A 23,099-nucleotide genomic window follows, 5' to 3' on the forward strand; every position below is an offset into this window, starting at 1 on the left:
TACTAATCTTTGCTGGAATTTATACAATGATCATATTCAATTGAAGAGCTAAATGTGTATTCTCTTTACCGGAAATGGGTCCTGATCCAGACCCCAAGAGAGGGTCCTTGGATATTGCGCAAGAAAGAATTTGATGCGAATCCATAGAGTAAAGTGAAAGCAAGTTTATTAGGAAAGTAAAGAAATAAAGAATGGCTACTCCCTAGGCAGAGCAGCCCCGAGGATTGCTGGTTGGCTGTTTTTATGGTTATTTCTTGTTAATATACTAAACAAGGGGTGGATTATTCATGAGTTTTCCCGGAAAGACGTGGGCAATTCCCAGAACTAAGAGTTCCTCCCCTTTTCAGACCATATTGGGTAACTTCCTGACGTGGCCGTGGGATTTGTAAACTGTCATGGCGCTGGTGGGAGTGTCTTTTGGCATGAAAATGCATTATATTTAGTGTATAATGAGCAGTGAGGATGACCAGCAATCACTTTGATCGCCATCTTGGTTTTGGTGGGTTTTGGCTCCCTTCTTTACAGCATCATTTCATCAGCAAGGTCTTTTGACCTGTACCTTGTGCCAACTTCCTATTTCTTCCTGTGACTAAGAATGACAAACCTCCTAGGGATGCAGTACAGTAGGTCTCAGGCTTATTTTACCCAGCTCCTATTCAGGATAGAGTCACTCTGGTTCAAACTCCTTCGACATTCTCACAAAGTTTACATGTACTTACTTGGGAACTTTACTGCTAATTCTTTGACTTTCTCTGTTTTTTGTTAAAAAAAAAAAAAGTTTCCCCTTACATTTGATCCACCTACCACCATTGCTTCCTATCTAGAGAACACATACCCAAAATATATTTGAGGAAAAAAATAAATGGGCAGGGTGACGTGGGGTCTCAGAGTTTCAAGATGTTAGAAATATCCGATGGAGGCCGGGCATTGTGGCTCACGCCTGTAATCCCATCACTCTGGGAGGCCGAGGCGGGCGGATCAGCCGAGGTCGGAAATTTGAGACCAGCCTGACCAACATGGAGAAAGCCCGTCTCTACTAAAACTACAAAATTAGCCAGGCATGGTGGCACATGCCTGTAATCCCAGCTACGCGGGAGGCTGAGGCAAGAGAATTGGTTGAACTTGGGAGGTGGAGGTTGCAGTGAGCCAAGATTGTGCCGTTGCACTCCAGCCTGGGCAACAAGAGCAAAACTGTCTCAAAAAAAAAAAAAAAAAAAAAAAAAAGAGAGAGAGAGAGAGAAAAAAAAAGAAATATCCTATGGAATAGCAGGATAAAAAACATTTTAATTAAAAGAAATAAAAGAACCAAAATCAATCAATGGATTCTTTTCTTTTTTTACTGATCTGACCAAATCAATCAGAATGATTGAATCAGGCTCTGTTGCCAATATTTATATTCTAGAAAAAAAAGCTAATATTTCATTTTATATGCTATTAGAATTTGATATGATTGTTCCAGAGAACACAGCCTTAGTGTTAAACAGTTTGTATTAAACAAATAATTTGAATAATTTGAACAGGGTTCACTACTAATATCCTTTACCTACCCCCCAACTCTCAGCCCTCACCTCCTATGGATGGCATTAATGGTTTTTTCATTGTTTCTCTGAGGCTTTGAAGTAAGCATATTTGTAAGACAAAGGTTAGCAAGACTAGCCCAATAGCTGCTACGGTGGGATGAATGCAAAAAGAGCTGACAGAAGAAATGAAGGACAATTCTGAGCTATTTTGGCAAACTTCACTGGAGACAGGACACCTATGCAAGTTGAAGGGAAAAATGATAACCAACTAACCGTCGTTAAGGAGAAGATATGCTCATTTTGATCAAACGTATCAATAACCAATAGGATAAACAGAGTATGGTCCTAATATTAACCTTTTAATTTGCAGTTCCATTGAAAATCGAGCACTATATTTTGTTTATTTATTTATTTTTGTTTTTCAACACACTGTTGCTAGCTTGAAGGGCACTTTATTTTATGTAAAGATGTTTGCTTATTTTATAGTTGGCCTTTTCAGCTGACTTGGCCAATAAAACTTGTTACTCCTTCAGCTACATAGCACAAGTGAGTTCTCTGGGAAGCAGATGTTTATTAGGAAGTGCCTTGGGATCTAAATCTGTGGGAGAAGAAGAAAACAGGACTGGGGTAGAGGGAGAACTGCTATGCAGACCTGAACAAATGCCTTGGTTGACCCCACAGGAGCTATGAAATGAACAGAGTCTTTCAGTGTTGCTGTGGCTTGGAGTGAAATAGTCTAGTCTCTTTCCTCCCATGTCAGTGGTTAGTCTGGGACAGCGTAGGAAAGGCAAGACCTTAAGCAAGGTGCATGGTGACTCTCTGCAACAGAGGCAATCCCCCCGCAAAGGGGCTGATAGTTAATGGTGTCTGATGACAGCATTTTCAGCAACTGGATAACAAGCCTTTACTTGAAGTAACACCTGAGTGGCCAATCTATATCACATATCTATGTGCCCACTATACCAGTTTAATGACTTTCAAAGATTTTTCACTATGGTTCATGTGTTAGTCTGTTTGTGCTGCTGTAACAAAATACCTGAAACTGAGTAATTTATAAAGAACAGAATTTATTCCCATAGTTCTGGAGGCTGGAAAGTTCAAGATCAAGGTGCTGGTAGTTTTGGTGTCTTATGAGGGCCTGTTCCATTGATGGCAGCTTCTCTCATCTGCATCCTCACATGACAGAATTCAGATGAGCAAAAAGGGGCAAGCACTGTGTGAATCCTCCTTTATAATGCATTCATTCAGTTCCCAAGGGTGGAGCCCTCATGACCTAATCGTCTCCTGCAGGTGCCACTTTCTAATACTGTCGCCTTGGTGATTACGTTTTAATGTGGATTTTGGAAGGGACACAAACATTCAAATCATAATTGTCCACAATAAGAAATACCCCTTATATCACCACATGGGAGTGTATGCTTGCTCTCTCTCTCACACACACACTCACACACATACATTCTCTCTCTCTTACATAAATAAAACAAAAGTTTAATTATATATATATGTATGTATGTGTGTGTGTGTGTGTGTGTATATATATATATATATATATATATATAAATTTTTTTTTTTTTTTTTTTTTGAGACAGAGTCTTGCTCTGTCGCCCAGGCTGGAGTGCAGTGGCATAATCTTGGCTCACTGCAAGCTCCGCCTCCCAGGTTCAGGCCATTCTCATTCCTCAGCCTCCTGAGTAGCTGGGACTACAGGCACATGCCACCATGCCCGGCTAATTTTTTGTATTTTTAGTAGAGATGGGGTTTCACCGTATTAGCCAGGATGGTCTCAATCTCCTGACCTCATGATCCACCAGCCTTGGCCTCCCAAAATGCTGAGATTACAGGCGTGAGCCACCAAGCCTGACCCAAAATAATATTTTTTTATTTGTTCCTTTTGCATGTGATGTATTGTGATATTTTCAATTTCATTTTGTTTTGTTCCATTTCATTCCATATCATTCTGTTTTTCTTTACTTTTAAAAATGCTGTTTATAACACACTAATCTGATTTCTAAGATACCACTATTAGACTTCAACTTGCAAATCTGAAAAATGTGATACTAGATAGACTGTGGATAGACAAGTACTCCCATATGCATGGAATAGGCTAGTGTTTCATTATATGGTTGGATTACTTTCATTTCCAGGAAACCAGAAAAGAGCCACAGTAGGGTTTTAAAGATCTGTGGGCCCCAAAGAGATGCTATGGCTCATAACAAATTTCTAATCTTGAATGCCTTGTTCCAGGTGGGATGTCATTTGTGATTACTTGTTCTGACAACATGAGCTCCAGGCATGATTTTTAAAGAAGAAAGATGTAAACAGTAACGTCAGTGAGAATCATGATTTCCAATTACTTATAGAGTTTTAAGAGGAGGTCAGGTAAAGACATACTAGTTTTTTCAGACAGAGGATTCCTGTGATCTGTTGTTTATTGTAGCTTTCACATGAGAGGAATTGCTGGAAGAAACATTTGGTATCATGGAAGAAACATTTGGTATCATGCTTCAGAATGTGAGTTTTGAGATGCCTGCAATAAAATATAGGGTTAAATGCCTGAATGAGATAGTATAGTCATAAAGTTAAGAAAAAAGTTAATTTTAAGGCAAAGATATGAAAAACATCATGAACGTAGCAATATGGAATTTAGGAAGATGATAAATAAATAACGTCTATCTACTGTGCCCAAAACACCACCACCACCAACAACAAACTAAAAATGCATTCTTTATGCTTGAAACTAGAGAACTGAGTTCAGGGTCCTTATTTGTACAAGATTTACACTCAAACACAATAGCAATTTAGTCACAGGTATATAAGCAGAATAAATACGGTAGTGTGGGAGCAGTATAAACACACAGACATAATGAGAAAGAAAACAACATATATCTACTATTTTCCATGTTCTATGCTAGAAAATCTACAATTTTTTTCTCATATTTAATCCTTGCAGCAACCTTCCAGGTGGACTTGATAATTACCATTTTTATAAATAAAAACTTGAGGCTAAGATGTAAGTAACTTAGCAAGATTAGTGGAATCAGGATCAGAATTCAGATCTCTGACTCTACCCTTTTTCACTACTTTGAAGTCATATGTATGTTTAAATTTCTATCTTTTAAAAATCTGCAGAATAAATACACATTAAAACTAGTTATGTATATACTGATATGTCAAAATAGAAGTTGAAAAGCCGGTTAATCAATTTACTACCACATTTCTATATTTTGTATTTTTGCTGTTTGTGAGATGGGAGTATTATATGTTTTTTAAAAAACATTTATTTCTGTTATAGGAATTTGATAATTTCTTCTCACATTATTGTATCTATATTATATTTCAGTCAGCCGTTAAGAAATTGAGGGCTGCTCTGCCTATAGAGTAGCCATTCTTTATTCCTTTACTTTCTTAATAAACTTGCTTTCACTTAAAAAAAAAAAAAAGAAATTTAGAAGTCAGATTTTATCAATTCAAACAAAGTAATAAGTATGCATATATACTGAAGAAAAGTTGAAATGAAAGTCAACCAAGATCTGGAAACTGGTGGAAATAGTCATTTATAGATATATTTCATATCAATTATAAATAACTATTATAATGATTATAGTGTAATATCACTATTACAATGTGATTTTTAAGCATTATCATGTATAAGAAGCGTAGTCTTATTTTTAAAGGGAATAGCAGACTCTCTTTGATTTGTCAGGATTTATCCACACATGAGCATATGTTCACTTCAGATGTCACTGCTGTATTAACAACAATAGTTCTACAAAAAGGGGCAAGAAGCTTATAAAGGACAGACTTTAAAAAGTCATTATTAGGTCAGTTACCTCAAAATAGTACAAGAAATTAAGTGATTGACCTCATTAAATAGCTCACCTCACATCATTTTATTCTGCAGAAATTAGCTCTGAGAAGTGTTATAGGACACATTTGACTTCGACATTAGAGATTAAAAACGAACTAGAAAATGTTTCCAGAAGCTGATGAAGACATTAGGAAGAGTAAAACATAATCACGTTCTCTTTGTTGACAGTATTGGTACAAATGAAATGTCAGAGTTTAAATTTTTTGTACTATGGCTTTTACATCTCTCTGATCTTGCTTATGCAATGGTTTTTAGCCCTCTCTGAACTTGGTCAAGTCATAAAATTTCTGGGTCTCACTTTTCCTTGCCTATAAAATAGGGAAGCATTTGAAATGTACATTCTATTGTATATTATTGTTTTTCTGAGATGTTTTGATTATTCATCAGAAGCATAATTATAAGAGACTATAAGATGATTTTCAGAGCTTTGTACTGAAGGAACAGGAGGAGGCAGTTTTATAGTTTAGGTCCTGATGGGGTTTTTCTATGTGATATTGAACAAGTCACTGAACCCCTTCGTGACCCAATATCTAAACAATACAATGGAGATTCTAATTTGTACTCCTCATTTCTTACTGATGTCTATTGAGGATAGAGAGCCTGGAAGTACTTGAGGGATGGAACAAATCACAAAGTTAAGGTATTATTATCTTAAGAATCTGCTACTTCAATTGAAAAGGAGAATAAGTTGTTCTAGGGGTGAGTCAATGAATTATTAACATCACATGTGAACACAATTTTAACTCCTGATTTACCTAAAACGTTTGTTAAACAATGATACTTGGAGTATTTATTTTACTGTCTTTTGAGATGAGTGTTCGATGATGCTTGATGGCTTGGAAATAAAATCTTCTTACATCTTTTGGAGGAAACATATATTAGGTATTTTGGGATATATGTATTCCAAAATAATTATGGAAAATAAAGACTACTTTTACTTTTGATATCAACTTAAAATGGTATTTATGATGATCATCTTCTATTTTCTAGGTACGTATTATTATACAGAAGTTATTGAAGTGTCTAACAGGCTCTTTATGAAAACATACTCAGAATATTCACATGTGGTCTTCACACATTTGTAAGTTTCAGCAAAGATGAAATATGTCAAATTTTAAATTTGATTGTATTTTCTATTGTAGTTGAAGTGTTGAGAGTAACTGAGCTGCCAGTGATAACGTACAGAGAAAGAAAAGCCCAGGGCCTGGGCCTGGGCATGAGTATAGACTGTATTTAAGCAACTGTAGCTAAGAATAAAGTTCATAAAGGAAGTAGAAGAGAGTATTCAGAGAGGAAGGAGGAAATACAAAACAGGGCTGCACAGTTCTGGAAGCTAAGAGAAGGGAGACTTTCTACAGCTAGGGCTTGGTTGACGTAGGACAGAGGAAATTTGAAATGGCCAGGACCCAGGATCCACACATAGTCACATGATGAATCACCGAAGGTTTGAAGGAAAATTAATGTCATTTAGCATGGAGGCCTGGTGACAGGGGCTGGCAGTAGGGATCAGGGACCCAGCTGTGAACAGTGCTCCTCAAACACCTGGTTCCATATACCTGGAGGCCTTGGTGAAGATTAATAGGATTCAGTATAGGAGAACTGGACAGGAAGCCAAAGGACATACTGAGATGTTTTTGGGACAAGACAGAAACCCAAAAACTTGGTGAAGAGTGTGAGATTGAGGTTCAGTGAAAGAAATACAACTGGTTTGTTTCTAGAAAGAGTGAATATTATCATAATAGTGGTAATAGCAAAAGAGATTTTAGGTACACCTACGGAGCTCTGTGGAGATTCTTTTTATTTCACGTTTAGAGGCTTAACTGATCCCTGAGGCTTGGATGACATTTAAACTAACAACTAGGAGTTAAGTGCTTAGCACATAGTAGATGCTCAATAAATATTTTTTGAATGAATGAATTATATGATCTTATTTCTGGAGAATGGAAGTCTTCTGCTGTTTTCCAAATAATTCCAAAGGTATTAATTTACAACAGTGTTTTCTAAATGTTTCTATGAAAACTAATTTATCAAGGTGTTCATAAGTTTTAACATCAAATAATATTTTGACCAAGTGAGTCAAGGAACTGCTGGGTTAAATAAAGTTCATTGGCCGGGTGTGGTGCCTCACGCCTGTAATCCCAGCACTTTGGGAGGCCAAGGCGGGTGGATCACAAGGTCAGGAGATTGAGACCATCCTGGCTAACACGGTGAAACCCCGTCTCTACTAAAAATACAAAAAATTAGCCGGGCGTGGTGGCAGGCGCCTGTGGTCCCAGCTACTGGGGAGGCTGAGGCAGGAGGATGGCGTGAACCCGATAGGCGGAGGTTGCAGTGAGCCGAGATAGAACCACTGCACTCCAGCCTGGGTGACAGAGCGAGACTCTGTCTCGAAAAAAAAAAAAAAAATAAATAAATAAATGAAGTTCATTACATTTCTATATTGCAAGACTTCACAGCAACTTTATATTAATATGTATATGACTCTCTTAAAGATAGGTAGTATGTGGGCTTTTCCAAATGTATTTGATTACAGAACTCTCTTTTCAACTGCCACCTTTCTTTCCTGAAGTGTCCTTTGAATTAGTGTTATAAAGAACATGCATTAGGACATATTAGAATACAGAGTCACATAATCAAAAAATTAATAGAAGGACAAAATAAGAGATGGGTTTTGAAAGTATTGAGAAAAAAGGTGTCCAAGTACCTTTTTGTGGAATTTCTAGGATTTCAAAAAGCAAAATTTAAAAGAATTGGAGAATCTTCATTGTATTCCTAATGTTCATCCCTAGGGATAAGAGGCCAAGAATCAAGAATTCTTGTTTACTTCTGGTCCACAGTTGGATGTTGGGCTGGATAAATTTGAAGAATATGGGACATTTTCAGAAAATATGTATAGGATGAAGAAGATTATGAGTCAAAGGCAGTCAGTCATTGCAGTGTCTATACATTATTAAAGCTCTATGTAATTTATTCTACTTGAATTGCTTTGGGGAAAAAGAGCTCTTGTCTGTGCTTATGGGGAGTGGGTGGGTGGGAGGTATGGGAGGAGAGATCTTGTTCCTCTGAAACTATAAGATAGTATCCATTACTGTGTCTGGCTCCCTCCCACTTAAAAGCAGAGTATGTGCCTCTATTCACTTTTATATAGACAGCGTCTCTTACCATACGTGGCATATACTAGGTGCTTAGTAAAGGTTTGAGCTGAATTGAACTAAGAGGATCTGAAGAAAAGAGGCAGAGTTTGGGCCAGGCGCAGTGGCTCACGCCTCTAATCCCAGCACTTTGGGAGGCCGAGGCGGGTGGGTTACTGGAGGTCAGGAGTTTGAGATCAGCCTGGGCAACATGGTGAAACCCCGTCTCTACTAAAAATACAAAATTAGCCGGGAGTGGTGACACATGCCTGTAATCCCAGCTACTCAGGAGGCTGAGGCAGGAGAATCGCTTGAACCTGGGAGGCGGAGGATGCGGTGAGCCGAGATCGCACCATTGCACTCCAGCCTGAACAAGAGTAAATCAAAAAAAAAAAAAAAAGAGGCAGAGCTTGTATTCTTACAGTGCCCATTTTTCCTCAAATGGCAAGGTCATGGCACCCCTCCACTCCCATTGTTTGGGTAATCTGGTTATTAGGAGCACCCTTTCTTTAGGAAGATGTTTTGTGGACATTGCCGCATGGTGTTTTCAAGGTGTTTTGCACCATGTTTCACTGGAGTGGATCCGAAAATATATTCTAAAAACAAAGCCCATAAGCTGTTCTTTATTGTTTACAGTGGCATATAACAGAGGCCCCTCTAAGGTTACAAAGCCTATAGTTCTGGGAAAGGAGAAGGAAACTGGCCAAACAACTAAGCTAGAAGTTACGATAGTCTTTATTTCCAAAGAACTAGGTGGGGTAGGGATAGTATCAGAGTGATTGATATTTCATCCCTTTCTCCATCTTTTCGTGAAGAAGGAAGTTTGACTCATTTTAAACCAGACCTCAGAATAATGTCATCTTAACAGTCACTAACAAACTTCTTAAAAAATGAGATTCCTGGGCTGGGCGTGGTGGCTCAACACATGTAACCTTAGCATTTTGGGAGCCTGAGGTGGGAGGACTGCTTGACCACAGGAGTTAAAGACCAGTCTGGGCAACATAGCAAGACCCCATCTCTATTATTAAAGTAAATTTTAAAAATGAGACTTCCGGAAAAATATGTTCAACATTATTTGATAATATAAATCTTTTAGTGGACTTCAAATCAAGTTAAAATAATATTTAATAAAACTATTATTATCAAATATTAGAAGGAGAGTTTTTTAGTTTAACAAACATCTACGTTAACAGAATTATGACTGTCACTATGGCACAAAAATAAATGCCTTATATCTTCAAAATTGTTTATAGTTGAGTTAGAGAGACAGACATGTACCAAGATAATAAAGTGAATGAGAGGAGGCAGTGGTAAGTTAGTGGTAAGTAGTGGTAAGTTAGTGGTAAGTTATTGGTAAGTAGAAGATTTGAATTCAGGCTGGGTGTGCAGCACCCTTAGCCTCCAGATGTACACACTAGTTTAGTGACATCAACGTGCTGAGATCCCAGCCCAGACATTTGGTTGGCTTTGAGAGTCCTTACCAGGAATGTATCTATGTTTCAGACGGGCAAATTCACAAATATTTGAATGAGTCATTATGATAGAAAAGCCAGTTCCAAAGGATTTCTTAAGAGAGAATCCCTCAGTGCTTATGAAAAAAATAATTCAGAGCAATCTAGACGCCACAAAAATTCTAGTATCTCCTGACAAATATATTCTAGCTCTCTCTGATTCTTAAATTCAGAATTTAGAATAAAATTGAGATAGCTACTTCACAAATCATATTGCATAGGAAAGAGACCATAAACACGGACCCTGGACCAACACTTAGGTCTAATATTTAGTTCCTGATTGACTTTGGGAGAAATATCTTATTTCTTCTATGCCTCTGTCATCTGAAAACTAGGAGTACAGCATCTAATGCAAGGGCTCACGTGAGAACAAAAGATATAATGTATGTAAGGTTAGATTCCTTCCTTACATTCTCTCATAGAATCATTTGCCTCTTTTTATAGCACATTTTACAGTTTGAAATTCAATAATTATAAAATTAACCCTTTACTGTTTGTCTCCTCTGCCTTCTGCAGGGAGATATGCTTCCTGAGAGAAAGGACCACGCTTCTCCTGTTTACCATGCTGTCTCCCACTCTAGCACATCCTTCAGCGATGCTGACCGGTGGAAACCAGAGCAGTACCTCGTGTATACTACGCTATCGTAAGCTATTATAAGCATTGTTCTTTTTCTTCTCCCACCCAGAAACCTGAAGGTTTTCTTTTCCTTACTCTGTTCCTCTGTGAGTTTTGAGAATTTCTGTACCTCTCTTATGATACACGATATTACTGGCATAGTGCGTTCATAACACTTCCTAGATGCTACTCATATGTGGCATGAGCCTTCTTAATCAACACTAAACTCCTTCTAAACTAAAAAGCATAATCCCTGTTACTTATATCTGTATTTAAAGTGGAGTTTTCCCTGAGTTGTTTCTTTTTCTTTTTTTTTTTTTTGAGACGGAGTCTCGCATTGTTGCCCAGGCTGGAGTGCAGTGGCGCGATTTCGGCTCACTGCAAGCCTAGCGGGTTCACGCCATTCTCCTGCCTCAGCCTCCCAAGTAGCTGGGACTGCAGGCGTGTGCCATCATGCCTGGTAAATTTTTTTGTATCTTTAGTAGAGAGCGGGTCTTACCGTGTTAGCCAGGATGGTCTCGATCCCCTGACCTTGTGATCCACCTGCCTCGGCCTCCCAAAGTGCTGGGATTACAGGCGTGAGCCACCGCGCCCGGCTCCTGAGTTGTTTCTTGTAGATGAAACAGTAATTTCTTGGTCTGCTTATATTATTTTGCAAACTTGTCTTTTACTTTCACCTAAATTGTTAGGATAAAGTAAAGATTTAGACTGATTATTGGTACAGTTGCATCTCACTACTATTGTACTGTTCACTATTTCACATATACAATAAGAAACTATATATCCCTATATTATATTTGCCTAAAGGCAGAAGGAAGATTAAAGGTACCATCTAACTCAGTGTTTGCTCATTATGCTCATTTTCATGTTGACAAACTTCTTTATGAATATAACAATTATTCCTTGATTTCTGCAACTCATGGCAGCACTAAAATAGATTACAGCTCCAGGTTTATGTTCTGCTTACATTCAGGACAAGGGCTCTGAACAATTGCACATTTCCAGGAGAGGAGTTTCCATGGAAACTTGGACAAAGGCAAAACAAAATAATTCTTCAAGGCCTATGAGAAAAAAATTTCACCTTGCTTTTTATTTGCAGTTCTGTGTCCCCTGAGCAGTTCAGCCAGCTTGCAGCTGCCCTTGCTCTCTAGGAATCCCCGTTTGAAAATTATATATAGCATTATGCATCTCTGAAATCTGCAAAATAGGATTTGATGAGTGTAAATGAAGAGTTATTTCTCTGGAAGGCTCAAACCCAGAGGTTTATTACAATACAATTTTTAAAAGTTAAAGCATACATTTAAGTAGCCACTGAATTTATGAATATGGAGGTGTTTTTCAAATTATAAAATCCTTAAAATAGGCCTCAAGAAGAGAGTTTTAGGATAAATAAATGGAATCAGTGATTAGAGACAATTAGGCATTTCAAGGCAATTTGCTAGCTGAAAATAAAGACCAGGTCAAATGATTTTCGGTAAATGTATGGATCATATATCTTGGGTAAAAGGAAGTCAGGGGGTTCATATAAAGTCCTTCGGAGAATGATGTGTCTCCTGTTGGTTTGCAAAATCCTGTACAGCACGCTGTCTTATTTATTCTTGTATCTTCTATGGCACTAAGCACAGTATTTTTAAGGCACTTTGGGGGCTGGATGGGTGTAGTGAAGAGCATTCACCATCTCCCTCAAGAGTCCAGCATCACAGTCAGAAACAGAGTACTCTCTGCTTCCTAGGCAAAACTATTGACACTATTTAATAACTTCATCATACAGTTCATATTTTATCGAGGAACCTGCCCCGATAGTCACATAGGTTCTTTTCTATTTTCCCTAAGCATCGGCCGGTTTGAGAAATAAAGGGACAGAGTACAAAAGAGAGAAATTTTAAGGCTGGGCATCCGGGGGAGACATCACATGTCAGTAGGTTCCGTGATGCCCCACAAGCCACAAAACCAGCAAGTTTTTATTGGGACTTTCAAAAGGGGAGGGAGTGTACAAATAGGGTGTGGGTCACAAAGATCCGTACTTCACAAGGTAATAGAATATCACAAGGCAAATGGAGGCAGGGCGAGATCACAGGACCACAGGACCGGGGCAAAATTAAAATTGCTAATGAAGTTTCGGGCACCATTGTCATTGATAACATCTTATTAGGAGACAGGGTTTTGAGAGCAACAGGTCTGACCAAAATTTATTAGGCAGGAATTTCCTCTTCCTAATAAGCCTGGGAGTGCTGTGGGAGACTGGGGTTTATTTCACCCCTACAGTCTCTACCATAGAAGACGGCCACACCCAAGGGGGCCATTTATAGACCCACCCTCAGGGGCATATTCTCTTTCTCAGGGATGTTCCTTGCTGAGAAAAAGAATTCAGTGATATTTCTCCCATTTGCCTTTGAAAGAAGAGAAATATGGCTCTGTTCTGCCCGGCTCACCGGTGGTCAGAGTTTAAGGTTATCTCTCTTATTCCCTGAACAATTGCTGTTATCCTGTTCTTTTTTTCAAGGTGCCCAGATTTCATATTGTTCAAACACACATGCTCTACAATTTGTGCAGTTAACGCAATTATCACAGGGTCCTGAGGCGACATACATCCTCCTCAGCTGACAAGATTAAGAGATTAAAGACAGGCATAGGAAATCACAAGGGTATTGATTGGGGAAGTGATAAGTGTCCATGAAATCTTCACAATTTATGTTTAGAGACTGCAGTAAAGACAGGCATAAGAAATTATAAAAATATTAATTTGGAAAACAAATAAATGTCCATGAAATCTTCATAATCCACGTTCTTCTGCCATGGCTTCAGCCAGTCCCTCTGTTTGGGGTCCCTGACATCCCGCAATAATATTTCACTTTCTTTTCGTTATTGAGCTTAATTGTAATCATATTCAGAAACATATCCACTCTTCGATGCATTCTTTCAACAATAACTTCTGAATAATATACCAAGTACTATGCCAGGAATGTGCCCTCAAGGAGTCCATAAAGGGCTGCTGACTTTAAAAAAAGATGATACAAAACTAAAGAAAAACACAGACAACAAAATGTGGTTACTGTACTCTGTAATATCTCATAATGTTGAGGACTGTCATGGGTTTTATGGGTGTCCAGAGCAGGGGCATGTGACTCAGCTCAGTGGTGCCTGTCATATGGGGGTTAGATCAGGTAAGGCCTTCACAGAGAAATGTTTGTTCTCAGCGTTTTTGTTGTTGTTGTTGTTGTTGTTTGTTTGTGACATGGAGTCTCGCTCTGTCACCCAGGCTGGAGTGCAGTGGCGTGATCTCGGTTCACTGCAACGTCTGCCTCCCAGGTTCAAGTGATTCTCCTGCCTCAGCCGCCCGAGTAGCTGCGACTACAGGCACATGCCACCACACCCAGCTAATTTTTTGTATTTTTATTAGAGACAGGGTTTCACCTTGTTAGCCAGGTTGGTCTCGACCTCCTGACCTCATGATTCACCTGGCTCGGCCTCCCAAAGTGCTAGGATTACAGGTGTGAGCCACCGCACCCGGCCTGTTCTCAGTCTTGAAGGATGATTAGATGTGAATAAGGCATTCAAGCAGGGAAACACATTCAGAGAGAGGAAACATATGTAAAAACACAGGAACATGGAAGAATGCCAATGTTTCAGGCACTGAACATTGGGTTTAATGTAAGGAGTAATGGGCATGAGCTTGAAGAAGGCAGAAGCCAGGTCCTCAAATGCCTTTATGTGAAGTTAACAAGTGGGAATTTTATGCTAAAGATAGGGAACCCAGTGAGTTATCTCAGTGAAAGAAGGGCTAAATCTGTACCATTGTCCTAATTTAAGTGTTAGGGGCAGAGGAAGTCCGTAATAGAAGGGAGACCAGTTACGGGGCAAAGAGGCAATATTGACTCCCTATAGTGAGGGTCAAAACTACAGTGGTATAGACAACATGGAAGGGATAAGGAGATCTGGAAGATAGATGAGCTTGGTAACCAATTGTTTCGGCAGGGTATAAAAAAGAGGAAGGACTGGAGTGGATTTCAAATTTCTAATGCAAGTGCTGGGAAAGTGGTAATACTGTTAAGTGAAATTAGTACAAGAAGCGAAAACAAAAAACAAACAAAAAACTCCATAAAGATTATAAAGATTTAGGGTATGGCTTTAGCCTGACTGCTCACCTGACCTCAAACAAGATTCTTAACCACTTTGAGCCTCATTCCTTTGAGATGATCATGTGGGATTGTTTGGAGGATTAAATGAGATAATGTTTACAAAACATTCACACATTTGCTCAATCTATATTTTCTGAGCATTTATTGTGTACCAGGGTAAGGGGTTCAGAGTTCAGAGGTGTTTAAGACAAAGTTTCTGCTCTTATAATATATCTGTTGTATGTATGGGAAGATAGACATAAATAAGTTAACAAATAAATGAGTAAACTTCGAAACCCCCTCTCTACTAAAAATACAAAAATTATCCGGGTGCAGTGGTGGGCACCTGTAATCCCAGCTACTCCGGAGGCTGAGACAAAAGAATCGCTTGAATCCGGGAGGCGGAGGTTGCAGTGAGCCGAGATCATGCCACTGCACTCCAGCCTGGGCGACAGAGCCAGACTCCTTCTAAAAATAAATATATAGGTAAACTAATTATAGATTTGGAAGCGTGCTTTGAAAGAAATAAAAATGTTGATGTGACAGTTACAGACAGGGTTGAGAGTTCTACTTTTTGATAAGTTGTTAAGAAAGGCTAAAACTTGCAGGGAGTTATTCAGTCAGAGACAGCTAATCATAGTTGAGGAACAGCATCCGAGGCTGAGAAAACCACAAAGACTCTGAATTGGGAAAGAATTTGGAAGGACAGTACACACCTAGCAAATCCCTAAATATAATAAACACACAATAAATAATAGATATTATGTTTAGAAACAAGAAGACATGTATTGATTATATGCCATGGAAAACTATCTGAACAAAATACCTAATTCATTTATTGCATACATAATATAGTCAGAACAATATTTAAAATTGACACATTTGCAAATGTATCTTTATATTTAAGAACGTGAATACAATTGTAAATGGAGTGAAGGGTTGGGAAGGAGTTCTCTAAAGTAATATTGAGGTTTATGGACTAGGAATTCTTGTAGGGAATTGTGTGATTAATATGCTTCCCCATGGTATTGGAAATATATTTTTCTTTATTTTCCAATTAGTTTTTTATTTGTTTGAGTCAGACTCAACCTTAACATCAGTGGATCCTCCAAAGATGGGAGACTACCTTTTTGAAGACTGCAATCCACACAACTCTATATAGAAAACTCTATGTTAACTTTCATGCTTTTAGTAGAAATCTCTATTATTAGTCACTGCTGCATTTTTTTCTGTGCAGTGATAGAAGATATATCATCTATTTTTTTTTTTTTTTGAGATGGAGTCTCGCTCTGTTGCCCAGGCTGGAGTGCAATGGCGCGATCTTGGCTCACTGCAACCTCTGCCTCCTGGGTTCAAGTGATTCTCCTGCCTCAGCCTCCTGAGTAGCTGGGATTACAGGCATGCACCACCACGCCCAGCTAATTTTTTTTGTATTTTTAGTAGAGACAGGGTTTCACCATGTTGTTCAAGCTGGTTTCGAACTCCTGACCTTGTGATCCTCCTGTCTCAGCCTCCCAAAGTGCAGGGATTACAAGTGTGAGCCACTGTGTCCGGCCAATATATCATCTAAATGATAAAAAAATCACTCAATATAGATTGTGTTACATTTTTTAAAAATTGCAAATGTCATATGTTATACAGGGAAATTATTAAGTAACTATCCCGTCCTAGTGTTCAAGTGTTATGTCTGAGAGTTTGCTGTTTTACATGCAAAGGAAAGATTATAAACAACTTCTGTACCACATCAACGAAGTCATTCAAATTTGATATTAATCCTAGTTAAGCAATTTGCCTGGCATTCATTTGATTTGTCTTCTTAAACTAGAATGCATAGTAAAAATGGGTTGCAAATATTTGGTAGTTATAAATTTAGGATTGAAAATATAGAAACATTAAACTTAGACTGATGTGTTAAAGCATGTTGATAATATCAATTAAAAATTTAAATGTCAAAGGAATTAACCAAAAAAGAAATAGCTTAGCAGACGTTAAAACCACAAAACAGGAATAGGACTATTCTAGAATTCAATGAATGACAGCCTCCACGTCTGTTCAGAGTGAATTCTAACAAATAGCTAATGAATATAAACAGTCTATTTAAGTGCTGCTGGAAAATTCCCCTTCAACCAGCAGCTGACATGACTGTTGTCATTCAAAGGGCATAAGCAAATGTCAAATAATTGAATCATTGAGAAACTGAGATGACAATGGCCTACATTCTCCTTAATGCTTTTTGAAAATTCTTCCCTGGGCTATTCAATAGATGATGTTTAATAACGGTATTAAGCTAAAGAAAAACCACGGGAAGTCAAAGTTTAAATAGGGCTTAACTCTTTAATTGGAGATTCCTCAGGGAAATTGGCTGTGGCTCTTGCATACCAGGTTGAGTGTGTTTCTGTAAAATTGCACTGATAGGATCCTGAATCACCATGTTTTATAGATAAGAGAAATACAAACTTCACATGAAACAATGTGGTGCTCCAATCCAGTATGAAGATTGTCATATCCTAGCACAGGCAGCGCCTTCCAATTCTTTTCCTGCCTTCCTATAACTGAGTATGTGTGTCCTTAACATTTTTAAAGGAACTGTAGGCCAGCAAGGTGCTCTTTGCTAGAATTAAGGTCCATGTTCTCCTTGTACCCCCATTTCCTGTTTCTTCATTTGCCGTTGGCTTTTATCTGGTTTTCATTAACTCAGGGACTTACATATCCATTCATTAGTTGGCATCTTCTAGCCTGACACCGTGACTGATCTTGGATTTGCTTCTTGATTCTTCCTTTGTCTCTTGGATCCAATATAACTATGTGTCTTTGGAACTAACTCCACACATTTTTCTGTTTTTAGTCTTGCTACATCCTGCTCTAAGGCGAGTGGGTTATAGGTATATCCAGCAATACCATTCTAGAAAAGACAATCTTTAATAATAGAGGCTCTAATGCCAAATCCCATGCATCTTTTAGTAACGAACAGAAATAACTTCTACATCCTTCAAGTTTAAAAATATTCATAGCAGATTCTCAGAATTTTAATGGTTACTCAGATTTGAGCTCTGTGGCATAAATTGTCCAGCTAGTCTGTAGGAGCAAGGCAGGTTATTGCATCTGGAACTATAGCAAGACAACAAAATCGATTATTCTAGATGTAATCTGAATACTTCTATAATGTTCATTAAAGATGTACTTTAATTATGAATACAAAAGTTAACATTAATTTGCAAACATTGCAATAAGTTACATACAGTTGATGTGTTAATACAAACTACTAAAACAAGTTATTGAAAAATTCTCTGGGAATTCATGAAATGATCTTTGTTCTAGATCAAAATATACTTGTTTATCCTAGATGCATGAAATGTGGTGATGATGGGATAAATCTGATTCCAAAGCCCACACATTAAAACTAGCCTCCCTGTTTTAGTCATATATCAAATATGTCCAGTAGTGGATACTTTTGAGGCTCCCCCCAGAGGCTCTGGATCTCCTTTACTGGGTATAAACACCCGTTGCTCAGCTCCTTTACTCATAGTTTTGCCACTAACAGCTGTTACCAGCAGCCCTCTTCCAAGACTATCTTTGGGCTACAAATTGCTTTACCCAGCAGCTGGGAGGCAGGGTTGCTGGAAGTGCCTGGGAGGCTACCCTTCTCAGGTAAAAGGAGAGATTAATTCTGCAGATGAGTACCATAGACACAACATTAACATGAGTCTAAGAAGCACATCTCTCACATTTTTACATGTTTTAACTGGGATGCAACTTATAATCGACTTGTTCTACTTCAAGTGGTAGTTTACTTTGTACACACAATAAGGATATGTCTGATGTTTGATGGTGAGTTAGAGTCAATGAAATTAGGGACTAGAAAAGAGTGAACAAAAACTGTTTGAAAATAATCATGAAGAGGTTTAGGAAAAAACTAACATTTAAACTGGTAATATGTGGAAGTGTCAGGCAACCCATCCTATCGTTTTGCAAGTATGCTATCTGGAAATTAAGGCCAATCGTAGTTTAGGTAAAAGTTAAAGGAAGAGAGCAACATTTAACAGGGATCCTACTGTGTGTCCAGCACTGAAGTAGGTTCTCTGCCTCCAGCAACTTTTTCATTTCATAATAAATTTTTGGGCCAGGAGGTGACATAATCACAAGGAAATTTTTTGAAGAAGATCCAGGCCCAAATCAGATGCTTGAGAATCACTGCACTGATTGGCATCAAGATGGTTTTACAACCATCTGCTTTTGATGACTTCTATTTTCCCAGCAGCCAAACCCCTATTCTAGGCAGGAAAATCATTAGCTATAGAGGAGGCAGATCTGGGTTCTCATCCTCATTCAGTCATTGGGAAACCAGTGGTCACCAAGAATTGGACTCTACAAATTTGGCTTCTTATATACATCCTTTCCAGGACCAGGAATGGCCTGAAGTGGGAGAGAACCTGCAGTTTGGAAGTAGAGAGATGCAATAATAGGTAGTCAGGCAGAACATCTTTGGGGTCTTTAATCTGTTCATCACAATATAAAGTGCTGTCTTCATTAAATCTAGTATTTGAGAGATTTTTTCTATCAAATAATGTTTAATCATAACAGTCCATTTCATTCATCTATAACTGTCAAATGGAGCTACTGGGCAGCAAAAAATAGCTAAGAGTACCACTTTGAAGGCCGGGCACGGTGGCTCAAGCCTGTAATCCCAGCACTTTGGGAGGCCGAGACAGGCGGATCACGAGGTCAGGAGATAGAGACCATCCTGGCTAATACAGTGAAACCCCGTCTCTACTAAAAATACAAAAAATTAGCCGGGTGCGGTGGCGGGCGCCTGTAGTCCCAGCTACTCGGGAGGCTGAGGCAGGAGAATGGCGTGAACCCGGGAGGCGGAGCTTGTAGTGAGCTGAGATCGCGCCACTGCACTCCAGCCTGGGCGACAGAGTAAGACTCCGTCTCAAAAAAAAAAAAAAAAAAAAGAAAAGAAATAAAATGCATAGCAATATAAAAAGAAAAAGGAACTAAAATTCTATCTGTAGATCCCAAGTTAAGAACCCCTGGGAAGAAGCTTGCTTCAAGTTGAGTGAAAAAGCCAGGAAGAAGTAGCCAGATGATGATGGTAAGAAGGTAGAAAAGAGTATTCCAGGAAAGAGAAATATTACGTGGAAAGAGTAAGAGGTAAGAGTAAGAGTAAGAGGCCAAGGCACAGGCAAAGAGTTTGCTTTTTCAGCTCAAAATTTAAGGGTACTGTAGGTCCAGCTAAAAACAAAGAGACTTGCTCTTTTTAATCATCTGTGCAGCTATAATAAGGGCACATGTATGATGCGTCCTTTAGTCTATTTAGTCTATTATACTTTGTTATATAAACAGAATATATAAAAATCTTTCTATAAATTGTTCTCTATGATTATGTACTAGTGAGAAAATAAACATGTTGTTTTAGTATATCAAGCTGCAAATATTACTATGCTAACTTTCAAAATGAATGATTTAAAATAGACTATACTGATCTGAATCACTTTTTATGTACAATATTAAATCAGGAATCAAATCACAGCTGGGGACCTAAATGTATATTTATAAGAGATATTCTTCTCTGCTCCTGGGATTTTCATTCTGAAATACCTTTAGTAGAAAAGCAAAGCACATAATAGTAGTTGAACTTTTCTGTAATGTGTTTCTGGAGATTAGGTCATTATGCGGGTTTTAAAAGACATGTTACAAGCATCAGATATTGTGTTTCCATTACATGGGGACTCAATAAGTACTTAAATGAAACCAAAAATACTTTTCATCGACTAACGAAAAGAAGAGCAATGCAATAAAAATATGCTAGCTAAAGACAGTTTAGTTGTGTGTGAAATCATGGATTCACCCAGTCCTTAAAATCAGAAAAAAAAAATGAAATGTTTTAATTGTGAGCCTTCTGCTTAATAGCTTCTGTGGCTGAAAAAAATCCCTGAGACTCAAGTTTCCTTATGGGTAAAACAGGGATACTAATACTTACACTTTGGTATTAACTAAAGAGAGCACTAAAGACAAAGCTCTTAGTACAGTATAGCAGTACACTGTAGTTTCCTCTTCTTTCACCTGGACTCTCCTGACATCTCTCTGATCACCCCACTTACATATACAGATAGCTCAGGAATTGACAGAAAGGAGTAGAAGAAGTTGGGTAGTACAGCAGGTTTGAGCAGAAAACAGACTAGAGTTTCTATGTAAAATTTTTAGGCTATTGATTTGAAAATCAGACTTCCCCAGATAGTTTCCAGATACTAGAGTTAGCTATGAATGAATTTTAATCATTTAGAGACCCCTTATGTGATAGCAGTTTTTATAAAACTATGCTGAAGGAACAGTAAGGGTAGATAAATTAAAACAAGTTTCAATGGCACATGCCTGTAGTCCCACTTACTCAAGAGGCTGAGGCAGGAGGATCACTTGAGCCCGTGAATTAGCGGCTGCAGTGACTGTAATGGAGCCACTGCACTCTAGCCTAGACAACAGAGTGAGACCCCTTCTCTAAAAAAAAAAAAAAAAAACCTCAAAAGAAGAATATGTTCTGAGATATATTTTCTGAGATGGAACAACATAATTTAAAAGGGGTTATATATACATAGGAATTTTTCTTCTGATATATTTTAAACTCTCAACATTTGATTGAGTTTGACAAACTATATTGGGAACCTATTAGGTGTCAGGCTCCACACACAGTACTTCAGATCCCAAGGCAGATAAGATGTGCTTGCTGGTCTCAAATAAGTCTCCGTGGAATTTAGAATATTTGTGGGTAGGAGGTAGTGGGATGGGTGAAAGCCTAGGGGAGGGGCACCCACTATGCACCAAAATAGCTAAATATTCAATGACATTAATGCAATTATAATATAATTCCAGTATAGGGTCACAAGCAGATAAGTGAGCTATTTAATTCTACCTGGGGCAGAAGAAGCCTCTAGGGAGGTGACAGGTTCTGGGATTCTAAAGAAAATGTATATATAGACCCAGGTAGGAAACATATAGTGGTTGAGGACTAAACCCAATCTGAGGAAAGATGAAGAGATTTTCTGCAAAAAGCAAAACAGACTGCTGAATTATGACAGAAATTGAGAGACCACATTCTAGCATAATGGTTTTATTTTTTTTCCTCTCATCATATTTTTACACACATACTCACTCATACATATTCTTCAGGAGTTTGAAAATTGTTTCTCAGTCTTGCTTTTCACATTAGGAAAAAATGTAGAGTAACTGGATCCAAATGTTCTGTCATTCTGTTACACAGAAAGAAGGAATTCACTTTACAAGAAAACAATTTGATGCTTTGTTTACATTTATGTGAATATTCACCTTCAAGTGGGCCTCACTTACACAGGCAGGGAGGTTCTGCAAGATAATTGGTAATAGGCGCCCTAATATTTATATTTAGTAGGTATTCTGTGGATGGTGCTCCTTCTCATCTATCTCTGGGGCATCTGCTTTCTAGAATTCTTTATGGTGTCCTTGTTAATCCATCCTGAATTCAAATGAACCAAGCAAAACACAACATTTAAAGTGAACAAATGTGTTTAATTGCTTCATTCTGAGAAACAAGGGAACCAAGAAAGGCCAAATCAATTGTGTTACACTAAACCAACAAAGACTTCTTTGCAAGAAACCCTTGTTGTTATATCAATATTTATTGCTTACTTTTCATTAGAAGCTACGCGCAAAGTTGCAGCCCTCTCCAGAGTGAGAAATGTTGAGACACCTACAAAGCAAATTGCCTTGCTTTTGGCTTGTCTGTCGGTTGTTATTTTTTAAACCATCTATCCATGCCCCTTCCCATCACCATGCCTAACATAGCACTTCTTGTGAAGATCTCTTGGTGGTTAAACAATTCACAATTATTAAATGTGACTTTCTAGAAGTTGCAGTCACCTGGATAAACGGGCTTTTGCTGCTGGAGGTTGGTAGGGTAAGGAGGGTGGTGAGTGTTTGAACAGAGTATTGTGGAATAAATAGTTGAGCCTGCTGTGGCATTCTGCCACAGGTCCTCCCAGATCCCGTCTTCTTTTGCTGGAATTCCCTGGCTCCCCTCCAGTTCACCCAACTTATCAAACAGATTGTTTGGCAAAGGATAGAAAGAGGTAGAAAATAAAGTGAAATTGAAGATTTGGGCAGACACACTCCTGTTTCTATGTAGAATCTCCTAGGCTGTTGATTTGAAGGTCTTAGTACTCCAGGTACTTTACATATCTTTGGGTTAAATATGTATACGTTGTCATTTTAATTGCCAAAGTTACTTGAACTTCTACATAACACAGCCACATTTTAAGGGACTTTAAAAAAGAACATGTCAGTTTTGCTCCTAATGGATAAG

The sequence above is a fragment of the Homo sapiens genome, chromosome 7 (genome assembly GCF_000001405.40).
Source record: "Homo sapiens chromosome 7, GRCh38.p14 Primary Assembly".
Lineage (NCBI taxonomy): Eukaryota > Metazoa > Chordata > Mammalia > Primates > Hominidae > Homo > Homo sapiens.